At 46.9% G+C, this 14,710-nt stretch overlaps 1 annotated feature.

Annotated features, from left to right (window-relative positions):
* Positions 3,006-3,065: an enhancer, noted in NCBI's record as "active region_26308". NCBI's record gives its function as "activates an Ori minimal core promoter by ATAC-STARR-seq in GM12878 lymphoblastoid cells {active_cell/tissue: GM12878}" and the evidence as "EXISTENCE:reporter gene assay evidence [ECO:0000049][PMID:35858748]".

Below are 14,710 nucleotides of genomic sequence, written 5' to 3'. Positions count from 1 at the left end.
GGTTCATCCTTCCCTCAGCCTTCGCCTGGGCATGCTTCTGAATCTAGCCTGATCCGGATCAGTGGAGATGGAAATGGGGAGGACATGCTTGTGCTGAAAAGGAAATGTTGTCTGGGTCTGAAACTGTAGCTGGAAAAGCTGACCTGGCCTCTGGTCTCCAGGTGTTGGGGAGTTGGAGCCTTAGGGACTGTGCTTGCCTGGGGCTCAAGATAGAATGGCTGCTCCAGGCTGGGTGCGGTGGCTCATGCCTATAATCCCAGTACTTTGGGAGGCTGAGGTGGGCGGATCACTGGCCAACATGGTGAAACTCCTGTCTCTACTAAAAATACAAAAATTAGCTGAGTGTGGTGGCAGGCATCTGTAATCCCAGCTACTCGGGAGGGTGAAGCAGGAGAATCGCTTGAACCCGGGAGGCAGAGGTTTTAGTGAGCTGAGATCGCAGCACTGCACTCCAGCCTGGGCAACAGAGCAAGATTCTGTCTCAAAAATAAAAAAGACTGGCCGGGCACGGTGGCTCACCCCTGTAATCCCAGCACTTTGGGAGGCTGAGGCAGGCAGGTCACGAGGTCAAGAGATTGAGACCATCCTGGCCAACATGGTGAAACCCTGTCTCTACCAAAAATACAAAAATTAGCTGGGTGTGGTGGCAGATGCCTATGAATCCCAGCTACTCAGGAGGCTGAGACAGAAGAATTGCTTGAACCCGGGAGGCAGAGGTTGCATTGAGCTGAGATCGTGCCACTGCACTCCAGCCTGGCGACAGAGCGAGACTTTGTATCAGAATAAATAAATAAAGTAAAAAAGACTGGTCACTCCCTCGGGCCTGTTAGATGCTCCCCCAGCTTAGAAAGTGAGTGTCAGCTGGATTGGCCTAGGAGTCATCTTCCCTTCTTCATTATCCTCCACTCACTCTCTAGATACTCATGGGAGAAGCTGCTTAGCCCTGGCACCAGGCTGGGCTCAGGGAGTGCACGATGAACAAGGCAGACCCAGTCTCTGCTTTCAGTCCTACATATGGGGACAGAAAATACACAAGCAGGCCAGGAGCAGTGGCTCACGCCTGTAATCCCAGCACTTTGGGAGGTCGAGGCAGGCGGATCACCTGAGGTCAGGAGTTCGAGACCAGCCTGGCCAACACGGAGAAACCCCATCTCTACTAAAAGTACAAAAATTAGCTGGGCGTGGTGGCATGCATCTGTAATCCCAGCTGCTTAGGAGGCTGAGGCAGGGGAATTGCTTGAACCAGGGAGGTGGAGGTTGTAGTGAGCCAAGATCACGCCACAGCACTCCAGCCTAGGTGACAGAGTGACTCCAGCCTAGGTGACAGAATGACTCCAGCCTAGGTGACTCCAGCCTAGGTGACAGAGTGAGACTTCATCTCAAAAAAGAAAAAAAGAAAAAGAAAAAAAAGTACACAAGCAGTCAAGAGACACACTAGAGGCCAAGCATGGTGGCTCACTCTTTACATTCAACATTTTGGGAGGCCAACGTAGGAAGAGTGCTTGAGGCCAGGTGTTCCAGACCAGCCTGGCCGACATAGCGAGACCCCAGCTCTGTAAAAAATACAAAAACATTGGCTGGGTGCAGTGGCTCACGCCTGTAATTCCAGCATTTTGGGAGGCCGAGGTGGGTTTTCAAGACCAGCCTGGGCAACATGGTGAAATCCCGTCTCTACTAAAAATACAAAAATCAACTGGGCACAGCAGCATACGCCTGTAATCCCAGCTACTTGGGAGGCTGAGGCAGGAGAATCACTTGAACCCGGGATGCAGAGGTTGCAGTGAGCTGAGATGGCGCCACTGAGTGTGACAGACTGAGACTCCATCTCAAAAAAAAAAAAATTTAGTTGGATGTGGTAGTATGCACCTCTGGTCCCAGCTATTTGGGAAGCTGAGGTGGGAGGATTGTTTGAGCCTGGGAGTTCAAAGCTGCAGTGAGCTATGATTGCGACACTGCACTCCAGCCTGGGATACAAAGGGAGACCCTGTCTCTAAATATAATAATAATAATAATAATAAACACACCAGATGACGATGGGAAGTCATCGTGCTCTAGAGATCATAAAGCAGGTGCCGTAAGAGGGAGGGAAGGATGGGGCACAGGAGAGGAAGAGGTCTGGGAAGGCCCCTCTGAGGCTGTGTCCCTTGAGCATTTTCCTGGGTGGCAGGAAGGAGGGAGTCGGTGCGTGGAGAGAATCTCATTCTAGGCTCTTTGCACCTTCCAAGTGCTTCGCTCCAAAGCAGGTGAATGAAGCAGTGGGAACCCAGGTGAGTAAGGAGTCACTCGGTAAGGCGCAGCAGATAGCTCAGGAAACCCCATAGGGCGTGTGAGCAGAGCACGCAGGACTGGATTATCGCAGGGTGATGGCAGCTTCAGAGGGGAACTCCAAGGACAAGAGCACCCAGGGGGCCCACTCCACCCACTCCAGATGCCTCCCTGATCTGTGGGGCAGGGACAGGCAGGGTGCAGGGTTCAGCTGGATTCCTGGCCATTGACTGACCTGGGCTGCCCTGGCTCTGAGCTGGTGACCTGGCTCCTGCAAGCTTGTATCCTCACTGGGGTCCTCCTCCTGCCCCTTCTCCACCTGGCACAGCAGGGCTGGGCACCAGGTCTCTTTGCCTGGTCCAGGAAATGTGCCTCCATTGGGGCCTGCGGTCCCACTTCTGGGTCTGGTCTCTTTCCTGCATTTCCTTCTCCAACCCTGAGGCATTCTAGGTTCTGGGGTTGTGTACTGTAGAATAACTGTGTCATCTCCCATACGCTGAGTATATGCTGCATGCTGGGCCCTGGGGGAGTCCCTTCCTTGCCATGATAGCCAAACTCACAGCAGGAACTGGGGGCCAGAGATGGCCCCAGCCATCTCTGCCACCTGGTATTCACAGCCTCTCATATATTGTAATAAGGTTAGTCTGTGTGACCAGTACAAGACAGTAGAAGTGAGGGCATGTCTTCAAAGGCTAGGTCATAAACCACATTACGCTTTCTCAGATTGCTCACCCTGGGAAGCCAGCTGCCCTGTCATGAGCAGCCCTTTGTGTTTTTTTTTTTTTTTTTTTTTTTTTAGAGACAGGGTCTTTCTCTGCAGCCCAGGCTGGAGTGCAGTGGTGCAATCATGGCTCACTGCAGCCTCAACCTCTGGGCTCAAGCGATCCTCCTACTTCAGCCTCCTGAATAGCTGGGACCATAGGTGCTCCACCATGCCTAGATAATTTTTTACTTTTTGTAGAGATGGGGTCTCCCTGTGTTGCCCAGGCTGGTCTGGACCTCCTAAGCTCAAGCGATCCTCTCACCTCAGCCTCCTAAAGTGTTGGGATTACAGGCGTGAGCTACCACGCACTGCCGTGAGCAACCCTTTGGAGAGGCCCACGTTGTGAGGAACTGAGGCCTCCTGCCAACAGCCATGCGCAGAAGCCATCATGGAAAGGGCTCCTCCCACCCAGTCCAGTCTTCAGGACTGCAGCCCTGGCCAACTATTTTTTTTTTTTTTTTTTTTGAAGTGGAGTCTCACTCTGTCACTCAGCCTGGAGTGCAGTGGCACAATCTTGGCTCACCGCATCCTCTGCCTCCCAGGTTCAAGCAATTCTCATGCCTCAGCCTCCCGGGTATCTGGGACTACAGGCATGCCCCACCATGCCTAGTTTATTTTTGTATTTTTTTTTTTTTTTTTAGAGATGGGTTTTCACCATGTTGGCCAGGCTGGTCTCAAACTCCTGACCTCAAATGATCCACCTGCCTCGGTCTCCCAAAGTGCTGGGATTACAGGCATGAGCCAATGCTCCTGGTCCTGGCCAACATTTTGATTGTGACTTTATGAAAGACCCCTGAGCCAGAACTACCCAGCAAGGCCACTCCTGGACTCCTGACCCACAGAAACAGTGAGATATTAAACATTTGTTGTCTTCAGCTGGTAAGTTTTGGAGTCATTCGTTACGTAGCAACCAATAGCTAATACAGTCAGCTCCTTCAGTCCTCAGGAGAAGTCTCTGCTGTGTAAGACTATTGTTCTCCCTGGTCCAAGCAGAAAACAGCAGCTCACAATCACCCAAAGAGGAAGTTGTGCAGAGAAATGCAAACTTGAGGGTTTGCATCTGTTGGAGCTGGTGCCACATCAGACCTCTGGGCTTTCCATCCGTCGGCAACCATACCGCCCTACTCAGCAAGCGTGACCTAAGCTTGGAAGGCTTAACTCCTCAAAATAAGCCCACAAGGGTTCATCGCCCTGATTTCACAGATGAGCAAACACGTCAGACCACCACGACTCACTCAGGGTCGCACAGCTGGTGAGGAGGGGCGCCCTGCGGGAATTCAGTCACCTGGGTTTATTGGAGGCTGGTGCCCTGCTGTGCAGGAGTGGCACCTCTTCAGGGCAGGGAGGAATGCTGAGGTGTCTGCCCAAGGCTGGTCTTTGTGGTCTCAGGCTGTCCCCCAACTCCAGGGCTGCTGGGCCTGGTGAAAACCTGAAGATTCCCCTTCCACTTCCCCAAACCCTCAGCTGGCACAGAGCCTACAGCCTGGGGTGATGAGATGTGGTCACCTGCAGGACCGGGGTTTTAAGAAGCAGCTGTTTCCTGTGGTCTTGACTTTTAAAGAGGTTTCAAGTCCAACTTGGACCCTCAGCTCTGGGGATGCCTGTAACCATGGCAGCGGCTCACAACAGCAACAACAAATATTTGCTGAAAGAGAAAGAGCAGGGAGGGAGGGAGACAGCGAGGGAAGCAGGAGCATGGCTCACCCCTGGGCACCTGCAGATGGCTGGGGGGCTATCCCTAGGTTCCCAGGGGGCACTCAGATGCCTCCAGTAACAACTTTTCTACTATCCTGTGCCTGGGTGGAGAGTTTGTCTGTGGGGGTGTTGGGAGGTCCCATGCCCCGTCTTAAGCACTGTTTCCCCCAGGTCTCTGCATAAAATATGTCCCCAGGACATCATGTCCAGGACCAGACCTCAGGTGGGCCTCCCTTGACCTAATTATTCATGTGAACTTAGACAAGTCCTTTCTTTTACCAGAGCCTCAGTTTCCTCATCTGCGAAAGGGGAATAGCAAACTGGCCTGTGTTTTCAGAGGTGTGTGGCTAAAGTGAATTCCAGGCCAGGCACAGTGGCTCACAGCTGTAATCTCAGCGCACTGGGAGGCTGAGGCCGGAGGATCGCTTGAGGCTAGGAGTTTGAAGCAAGCCTGGGCAGCAAAGTGAGACACTGTCTCTATAAAAAATAAAAATAAATAATTTTTTTTTAAGAGGGAGTCTCACTCTGTCACCAAGGCTGGAGTGCAGTGGTGCAATCTTGACTCACTGCAACCTTCACCTCCTGGGTTCCAGTGATCCTCCTGCCTCCGCCTCCTGAGTAGCTGGGATTACAGGTGTGCACCACCAAGCCTGACTAATTTTTGTATTTTTAATAGAGATGGGGTTTCACCATGCTGGCCAGGCTGGTCTTGAACTCCTGGCCTCAGGTGATCCACTTGTCTCGGCCTCCTAGAGTGCTGGGATTACAGGTGTGAGCCACAGTGTCTGGCCAAAATAAATAAAAATTTAAAAACTGAAATGAATTCCAGCCGTCACCATCTAGAGCATCCTGTTGAAGGATTGTTGTAAAGATCCCATCACTGGCTTCCAGGACAGAGTGATGTCGTGAGCTCCAGGCCACATTCCAGATAGCCCAGAGAGGGAAAGTGGCTTGCCCTGGGCCACACAGCAAGGGCAACGAGACCCAGAACTTAGCTACCTCATCCTGCTGCCTTCTCAGGCCATGAGGGCGCCCCCTGCTCGGCTGTCACCAGCTGTGTGGTTGTGATGGATGGCTGAGCCAGGCTTCCCTGCGGATGTGCTCAGGGCTTAGCTACTATCTGGGTCAGGGCCCTGGGTGAGCCATGTGCATGGACAGTGTCTGCTGAGCAAGTTTCCGCAGAGAGAAGACGGAAATAGAACCCCGTAGGCCTAAGCTGCCAGGAAGGGACCCTGGGTTCTCCCAGTGGGGCGGTCCCTATCACCACAGGTTTGCAGGTTAACTGGTCCACATACAGACTTTGATGTATACATAGGCCAAATGCTGCATTTATATTTAAATTACATCTCAGGGGTAAAAAATAGACTACATCCTATTATTAAGAGAATGAGGTGTGCAGAGCTAGCATGCAGAAATACTACAGAGAGATCCAGGATGGAGCATCCGTTTTTTTCAGAAGTCTGGGGCCTTGGATCCTCACCTCTAAACGGGGGTGGTGTCCATGCTCCACATTCCCCCCAGCTGGGAGTGAGTCTGAATATTCTCGAGACTCTGGCCTGAAAGTCTCCTGGGAGGCATCTCCACCTGCCTCTTCTCAGCTGAAAGCTCATATACATTTATTTTTTTCATTTCCCTGTTTTTGCACTGGACATACCTAAAATAGAACGGGAGGTAGGGCTGTGAGGAGCAGTCCCCAGGCACAGACTCTTCTTGGAGGTCCCCAAGGAATGGTCCAGGCTCCAGGAGCAGGAAGCTGTTTGGTGAGGCTTCAAATTTACCCTCCACATCCATGCCATAAAGAGACCTGCAACAAAGTGGCCCTTTCCACTGCAGAATTAAACCGAGAGCCCACTAGGGGTGGGATGCCCTCCTCATCTATGCCACATCTGGATTCCTCAGCTCTACTAGAGGCCCCTGCTTCTAACGAGCAGCTTGGGGACCAGCTGAAGGGCTGCCCTGGGGAAAATGAACACTGTCTGCAGCAATTGAGCTGGTCCTGCACTTCAGGGTTGCTTGCCTAAGGAGAAGATGCTAGGCATGGCCATCTCCTGGGACCTCCCTACCACACAAGGCCATCTCAGAACAGGCAGGAGATCCGGGGCCTATAGAGCATGCACCCTGAGGAAGGACATCAGAGAGTTCCTCCACTCGAGCCCATCACCCTTTGGGGCAGACAGCTTGCTCAGTCATTCCACTGTCCCTGGACAGATGTGCAGATGTGGAGTGAAAGATGGCAGACAGACCACACTCAGTCGAGGACTTATCCCCAGACTGGAAGCCACTGAACACTTGCTGGGATAAGCCTCCTGGAAGCCTCTATCAGGTCCCTGGGGCAGGTGGCAGCTGGCAGGCCTCCTCCCTGGTAGGGCTGTGTGGCCTCAGCCAGACCTTCCTTGCCTGCTGGCTGGGGCCTCAGCCCCCACCAGCCAGCTGACCTCAGCCACCTACCACCTGAGAGAGGAACTCTCTCAGCCTATCTCTGCCCCATCCAGCTGTAACCCTGACCCAAGCCTTGATCAAAGGCCAACACACATCTTGACAAAGACATCATTATTGATTTGCCCAAAACCAGTAATCAATAGCCACAATAAATGTAAATGGTCTAAATTCCCCAACTAAAAGGCAGAGTGTGTCAGATTTCAACCCAGCCATTGCACTCCTAGGCACTGGCCCTAGAGAAAATTCTTGCACACTGCATTAGTAGATACGCACCATCCAACAGTCCCTGAGTAGGAGAATGGATAGAGAACCATAATATATGCCGTCAGGAAAGACTAGATAGCAGTGAAAATTATCAGCCTGGAGAAATCTCAAAAACATAATATCAAGAAAAAAAAAGCAAGTCACAGAAGAACTCATAGAGTTTGATCAAGCAATGATATGCGTGGCCAATTCTCTCATCTCCGTCAAGTCTTGGATCAAATGTCATCTTCTCAAAGAGGCCTCCTCCATTGCCCTACCTTAAATTGTGAACCCCCGACAACCACATTTCCATTCCCCCTTTCCCGGAGCACTTGTCATCTTCTAACAAATTATATAATTTACTTACTCATCTGTCTAGTATTTATCATCATTCTCCTTCCTCCAGAATGTTAGATCCACAAGGTGAGGAGTCTTTTTCTTTTTTGTTCATTGATTTCAACAAAGTTCCCAGCAAAGTACCTGGTATAAAATAGGCATTAACTAAATATTTCTTAAACTGAGTCATTGGTACACAAATATTCATTTATGATTATTCTTTCTACTGTGCATATGCATATACTTGGTCTATTGTATCTATGATGTCTCGTAATAAACTATACTTTAAAGATGATAAATAGGTGTGATATTTCTTGCAAGATCTGAGTCTTCAGCTGAGACACAGACTCTCCATGATCTATGCTGCCCTCTTAAGCACAGAAAGCCAGGGTTGACCATATTATTCCCGAAGGGCATGATCGCTTGTGTATGATGATGAGTGACAAGGAAATGTCATCCCGCCCCCCAGCTGTAGTCTTCTGTGATTTATCTCTGCTTGAACAGGGTTTTAAAATGTGCCTGTGAATATTTGCACTGACAACTACAGAGAGCAGAATCGCTTTGTAGAGAAAAGTAAAACAACTTGGTAAATTTGTTTTGTGCTTCTTTGAGAAAACAATGGGAAGCTCGCCGTTCGTCAAGGCCAAAGTCATATAACCCAACCTGCACAATCCCAGCCTTGACAAGCTTCTTACCATGTTGAAATTCCCAGGAACAATCAAATTGCTTCTGTGTGACTGCTCAATACCAACCCCTTACAGAGTCATCCAGCTGCTCTGTGAGCCACCAAGGCTGAGGTCAACAACTCTTCTTGACTGGTTCGGTGTGTAGCTGAAGGTAGAGCTATGGATGATTAAAGAAGTCACTATGGAAACTGCCCCTCCCTCAGCCTTAGCCAGGTGAAGGCTTTCTGATATAGCAATTTGCTTAATTGGCTCCATTCTGTCTCTCATACTAGACTGTGAAGTGAAGACCATGTCTCATTCATGTAGACACTACACACAGTAGGATAATGCATGTTGAGTTAAATTGGCTTATGCATGAATATGCTTCCTACCAGTGAGGAGTCAATGGTCTAAGTAAGGATGAACATATCTGTTTCTGTACATTTACTTTCAAACAGTAGTGAGGCTGGGAGTACCTAGAAGCAAGGACTATGTTTTTAATCCAATTTTCAAAAATTTATCTTTTATTCGTTTTAGACACAGAGTCTTGCTCTGTTATCCAGGCTGGAGTGCAGTGGTGTAATCACAGCTCACTGCAGCCTTGACCCCCTGGGTCAAGTGATCCTCCCGCCTCAGCCTCCTGAGTAGCTGGACTACAGGCACGCATCACCATGCCTAGCTAATTTTTGTATTTTTGTAGAGACAGGGTCTTGAAATGTTGCCCAGGTTGGTCTTGAACTCCTGGCCTCAAGAGATTCTCCTGCCTTGACCTCCCAAAGCACTAGGATTATAGATGTGAGTCACTATGCCCAGCATAACCCATTTTTTATCTCCAGCCCTGACCTCTTCCCAAATCCAATTACCCACTTGACAGTTACACTAAAATACGTTCTCACACTTAAGTCCAAAAAAGAACTCTTTATTTTCCCCCATCCCAAAACCTGCTTTTTGCCCCCACTCCAACTCCCCATCAGTAAATGGCATCTACCCACCTGGTCCAAAACCTTGTTTTAAAAAATGAGACTGTGTCCAGTGGCCCATGCCTGTAATCCTAGTGCTTTGGGAGGCCCAGGCAGGAAGATAATTTGAGGTCAGAAGTTCGAGACCAGCCTGGACAACAGGGCAGAGACCTGTCTCTACAAAAAATTTTAAAACTTAGCCAGGAGTGGTGGTGCACATGTGTAGTCCCAGCTACTCAGGAGGTTGAGGTGGAAGGATCCCTTGAGCCCAGGAGTTCAAGGCTGCAGTGAGCTTTGATCACATCCCTGCACTACAGCCTGGGTATCAGAATGAGAGTCTGTCTTTAAAAACAAACAACAACAACAAAACCTGAGATATAATTTACACACCATCAAATTCACCTTACTTTTAAAATGTTTAATTCAGTGGCTTTCAGCATATTCACACCACTCTGGCCCTGTCCCCTAACTACCATAAGAAACCCAAACCAGACTTCTTTTCCTGCTCTCTCAAGCCATTTTTGGACCTTCCTGGGACCCACCTGCTCTATTCAGAAATCCTCATTACGTGAGTGTATTAGTCGGGGTTCTCTAGAGGAACAGGACTCACAGGATAGAAGGGGAGTTTATTAAGGAGTATTGACTTACACAATCACAAGGAGAAGTCCCACCATAGGCTGCCTGCAAACTGAGGAACAAGGAAGCCAGTCTGAGTCCCAAAACCTCAAAAGTAGGGAAACTGGCAGTGCAGCTTTTAGTCTGTGGCCAAAGACTCGAGAGCCCCTGGCAAACCACTGGTGTAGGTCCAAGAGTCCAAAAGCTGGAGAACTTGGAGTCCGATGTTCGAGGGCAAGAAGCAGCCAGCACAGGAGAAAGATGGAGGCCAGTAGACTCAGGCAGTCTAGTCCTTCCACGTTCTTCTGCCTGCTTTTATCCTAGCTGAGCTGGCAGCTGATTAAATAGCGTCCACCCAGAATGAGAGTGGGTCTGCCTCTCCCAGTTCACCGACTTAAATGTTAATTTCCTTTGGCAACACCCTCACAGATAAACCCAGGAACAATACTTTGCATCCTTCAATCCAATCAAGTTGACACTCAATATTAACCATCACAGTGAATAATCAGCTTTTTCGCACTCTCTTGGTGTGTGTATATGTGCAGTCATCAGACTCAACATCTGAACACATTTTTTTTTATCCACTGAATGTTCACAGCAGCAGTCTTTTTTTTTTTTTTTTTTTTTCTTTGAGACAGAGTCTTGTTCTGTTGCCCAGGCTGGAGTGCAGTGGTGCAATCTCGGCTCACCACAACCTTCACCTCCCGGGTTCAAGCAATTATCATGCCACAGCCTCCCCAGTAGCAGGAATTACAGGTGCATGCCACCACGCCTGGCTAATTTTTGTATTTTTTAGTAGAGATGGGGTTTCACCACTGCTGGTGGTCAGGCTGCACACCAGCAGTCTTAATATTAAGTCTTCCAATAAATAAACATGGATAACTTTTCATTTATTTAGGCCTTTAATTCTTTTTAATAATGCTTTATGGCTTTCAGAGTACAAATCTTTCCCTAATTTTATTAAATCTATTCCTGACTGGGTGTGGTGGCTCATTCCTGTAATCCTAGCACTTTGGGAGGCCAAGGCAGGAGGATTGCTGGAACCCAGGAGTTCAAGACCAGCCTGGGAAACATAAAAAGACCCCATCTCTACAAAAAAATTTTTAAAAGTTAGCCAGGCATGGCAGTGCAAACCTGTAGTCGCAGCTACTCAGGAGGCTGAGGCAGGAGGATTGCTTGAGCCCAAGAGGTCGAGGTTTCGGTGAGCTATGATCACACCACTGCACCCTAGCCTGGGCAATAGAGTGAGATCCTGTCTCAAATATAAATAAATAAATAAATGCATTCCTAGGTATTTGAATTTTTGACACTGTTGCAAATAGAAATGCTTTCTTAGGTTAATTTTAGATTGTTCATTGATCACGTATACAGGAGAAATACAGTAGATTTTTGGCATATTGCTCTTATTTTCTGCATCCTTGATAAACTTATTTATTAGCTCTAGTAAGTTTTTTCGTGGATTCCTTATGATCTTATAAAGAAGATAGTTTTACTTCCTTTACTTTTATATGACAAGAAGTATATGTTTTATATGTTTTACTTCTTCCTTACAATCTGGGTGCATTTTATTTTATTTTCTTGCCTAAGTTCCTTGACTAAAACCTCCAATGCAGTAATAAATAGAGGTGATGAGAATAGCAATATCTGGCTTATTCCTGTTCTTTTTTTTTTTTTTTTTCAGATGGAGTCTTACTCTGTTGCCCAGGTTGGAGTGCAGTGGCGTGATCTTGGCTCACCGCAACCTCCACCTCCTGGGTTCAAATGATCCTCCTGCCTCAGCCTCCCAAGTAGCTGGGATTATAGGCACGCACCATCACGCCCGGCTAATTTTTGTAATTTTAGTAGAGATGGGGTTTTGCCATGTTGGACAGGCTGGTCTTGAACTCCCGACCTCAAGTGATCCGCCCACCCTGGCCTCTCAAAGTGCTGGGATTACAGGTGTGAGCCACCATGCCCAGCCAGGTTGTGTCTTTTTTCTTGGTCAGTCTAGCCAAAAGTTTGCCAATTTTGTTAAATGTTTTCAAAGAACCAATTTTCAGTTTTGGTGTTTTCCTCTATTGTTTTTCTATTTTCTATTTGATTTACCTTTACTCTAATCTTTATTATTCTCTTCCTTCTGCTAGCACTGGGTTTAGTTTGTTCTTTTTCTAGTTCTTTACGTTCTAAATTTAGGCTGCTGATTTGAGATCTTTCTTCTTTTTAATGTAAGCATTTATAGCTATACATTTCCCTCTTAGCACTGCTTTTGCTATGTTCCATAAGTTTTGGTATGTTGTGTTTTCATTTTCATTTCTCTCTAAGTTTTCTGATTTCCCTTGTGATTTCTTCTTTCACCCATTGGTTATTTAAGAGTTTGTTGTTTAAAGCCAGATGTGGTGGCTCAGGCCTGTAATCCCAGCACTTTGGGAGGCCGAGGTGGGCGGACCACCTGAGGTCAGGAGTTAGAGACCAGCTTGGCCAAAAGTGGTGAAACCCTGTTCTGCCTTTTAATTGGAGTGTTTAATACCTTTACATTTAATGTGATTACTGATAAAAGTAGGGTCTATATCTGCTATTTTGCTATTTTTTATTTGTCTAATTAATGTGTTTTGTGTTCCCTTATTTCCCATTACTGCCTTCTTTCATGTTAAATGAGCATTTTGTGGTGTAGTATTTTAATTCCCTTGTTTCTTTTAATACATTCTTTCAAGTTCTTTTCTTAGTAGTTGCCTGAGGTACAATTAACATCTTAATTTATAATGATTGAATCTAGATTAACACCAACTTCATTATAATAGTAACAAAAAATTTGTTTTTACATAGCTCCATCCCCTCTCCACTTTTTTGTTCTGTTATTGTTGTACAAATTGCGTCTTTATACATTTATGCCCATCAATGCAAATTTATAATTATTGCTTTATGCAGTTGTCTTTTTTTTTTTTTTTTTGAGATGGAATCTCACTCTGTCACCCAGGCTGGAGTGCAGTGGCGTGATCTCGGCGATCTCGGCTCACTGCAACCTCTGCCTCCTGGACTCAACCAATTCTCCTGCCTCAGCCTCCCAAGTAGCTGGGATTATAGGCGTGCGCCACCACATCTGGCTAATTTTTGTGTTTTTTAGTAGAGACAGGGTTTCCCCATGTTGGTCAGGCTGGTCTTGAATTCCTAACCTCGTGATATGTCCACCTCGGCCTCCCAAAGTGTTGGGATTACAGGCGTGAGCCACCACGCCCAGCTTACAGTTGTCTTTTAAATCAGATAAAAGAAGGAAAGAGTTATAAACAAAAAAATACACTTACACTTTTATAATTACATATATAGCTACCTCTAACAGTGCTCTTTATTTTTTCAAGTAGATTTGAGTTACCGTCTAGTATCCTTTCGCTTTGGCCTGAAGGACTCCCGTTGGTATTTTTTTGTAGAGCGGATCTACTAGTGTTAAATTGTCAGTTTTTGTTTATTTGGAATGTCTTAATTTTGCCTTCATTTTTGAAGGATAGCTTTGTCAAATATAGGATTCTTGGTTGACAGTCTTTTTCTTTCAGCACTTTGAATGTGTCATCTCTCTGCCTTCTGGCATCCATAGATTCTGACGAGAATTCAGCTATAAATTTTATTGAGGATTCCTTGTACATCTTGAATCTCTTCTCTCTTGCTGCTTTCAAAATTGTCTGTCTTTACTTGGTTTTCAACAGTTTGTAATATTTCTGGGTGTGAATCTCTCTCAGTTTATCCTACTTGGAGTTTAGGTTTTTAAAAATTGTATTTTATTTCTCTCCCCAAATTCCAAATATCAACAAGTCAGGATGACTACTTCTAAGTATATCCTAAATTCTTCCACTTTTTTTCTGTCTCCTCTGCTACTTCCCTAGTCCAAGCCATCATGACCTCTTACCTGGACTAGTACAGTAACCTCCTCACGAGTCTTCTCTATTTCCCTTTACAATGCTCTACAGTTTATTCTCCATCCACCAGGAAGAGTAGTGGGCTTACAATATTAATCACATTATCACACTCCTCTCCTTAAAACCTCCAGGCTTCCCATTTCATTGAGATCTCAACACAGGCTCTTTGTCATCTGATCCTACAATCTCTTCATCCCATCCACTCCTCTCCTCTCCTGTGAATGCAGCCAACCTGGCTATTTCTTCTCTTGAACATCCAAGCTCAGCTCTACCTTAGGGCCTTCACACTTCCTGTTCCCTCTGTCTGTGAGGTTCCACCCAAGATTGGTTCCCTCTCTTCATTTAGGTCCCAGCTTAAAGGTGACCCCAGAAAGTAGTTCCCCAGTGACTCCCTAACACATCACCAGCATTTTTCTTGTTTATATATTTGCCTTCTATCTACACTTCCCACTGAAATTAATCTCCATTTAAAAGGAGAACTTTGCTATGTTGCTCACCATTACATCTCGAGTGCCTGGAATAGTTGCTGACACAAAGTAGGTGCGCCAGATATTTGTTGACAGAATAAATGATAACATCTGTGCTCAAAAGGAAGTCATCTTTTCTTTCTGAGAGCTTCTGTATAAGGAGAGCTGATGTCAAAGCCCCCAGAGGCTGGGCAGGATCTTGGTCTGCCTTTCCTATTGGTGGAGACCTGGTCCCAGCCTGCCTTTGATTTAGCTGCATTTTATTACTTTTCAATTCATTAATCATTGATCATTTGGCTACCGTTTCCATGACAACCCTTAAGCAACCTGAATATTCCATCATCCAGGACAATCTCTACCCCACCCTTCTTGGAGAACC

This window comes from Homo sapiens, chromosome 7, assembly GCF_000001405.40.
Source record: "Homo sapiens chromosome 7, GRCh38.p14 Primary Assembly".
NCBI lineage: Eukaryota > Metazoa > Chordata > Mammalia > Primates > Hominidae > Homo > Homo sapiens.
Note: the sequence above shows the minus strand (reverse complement) of the source record. Positions and strands in the feature narration are given on the sequence as shown.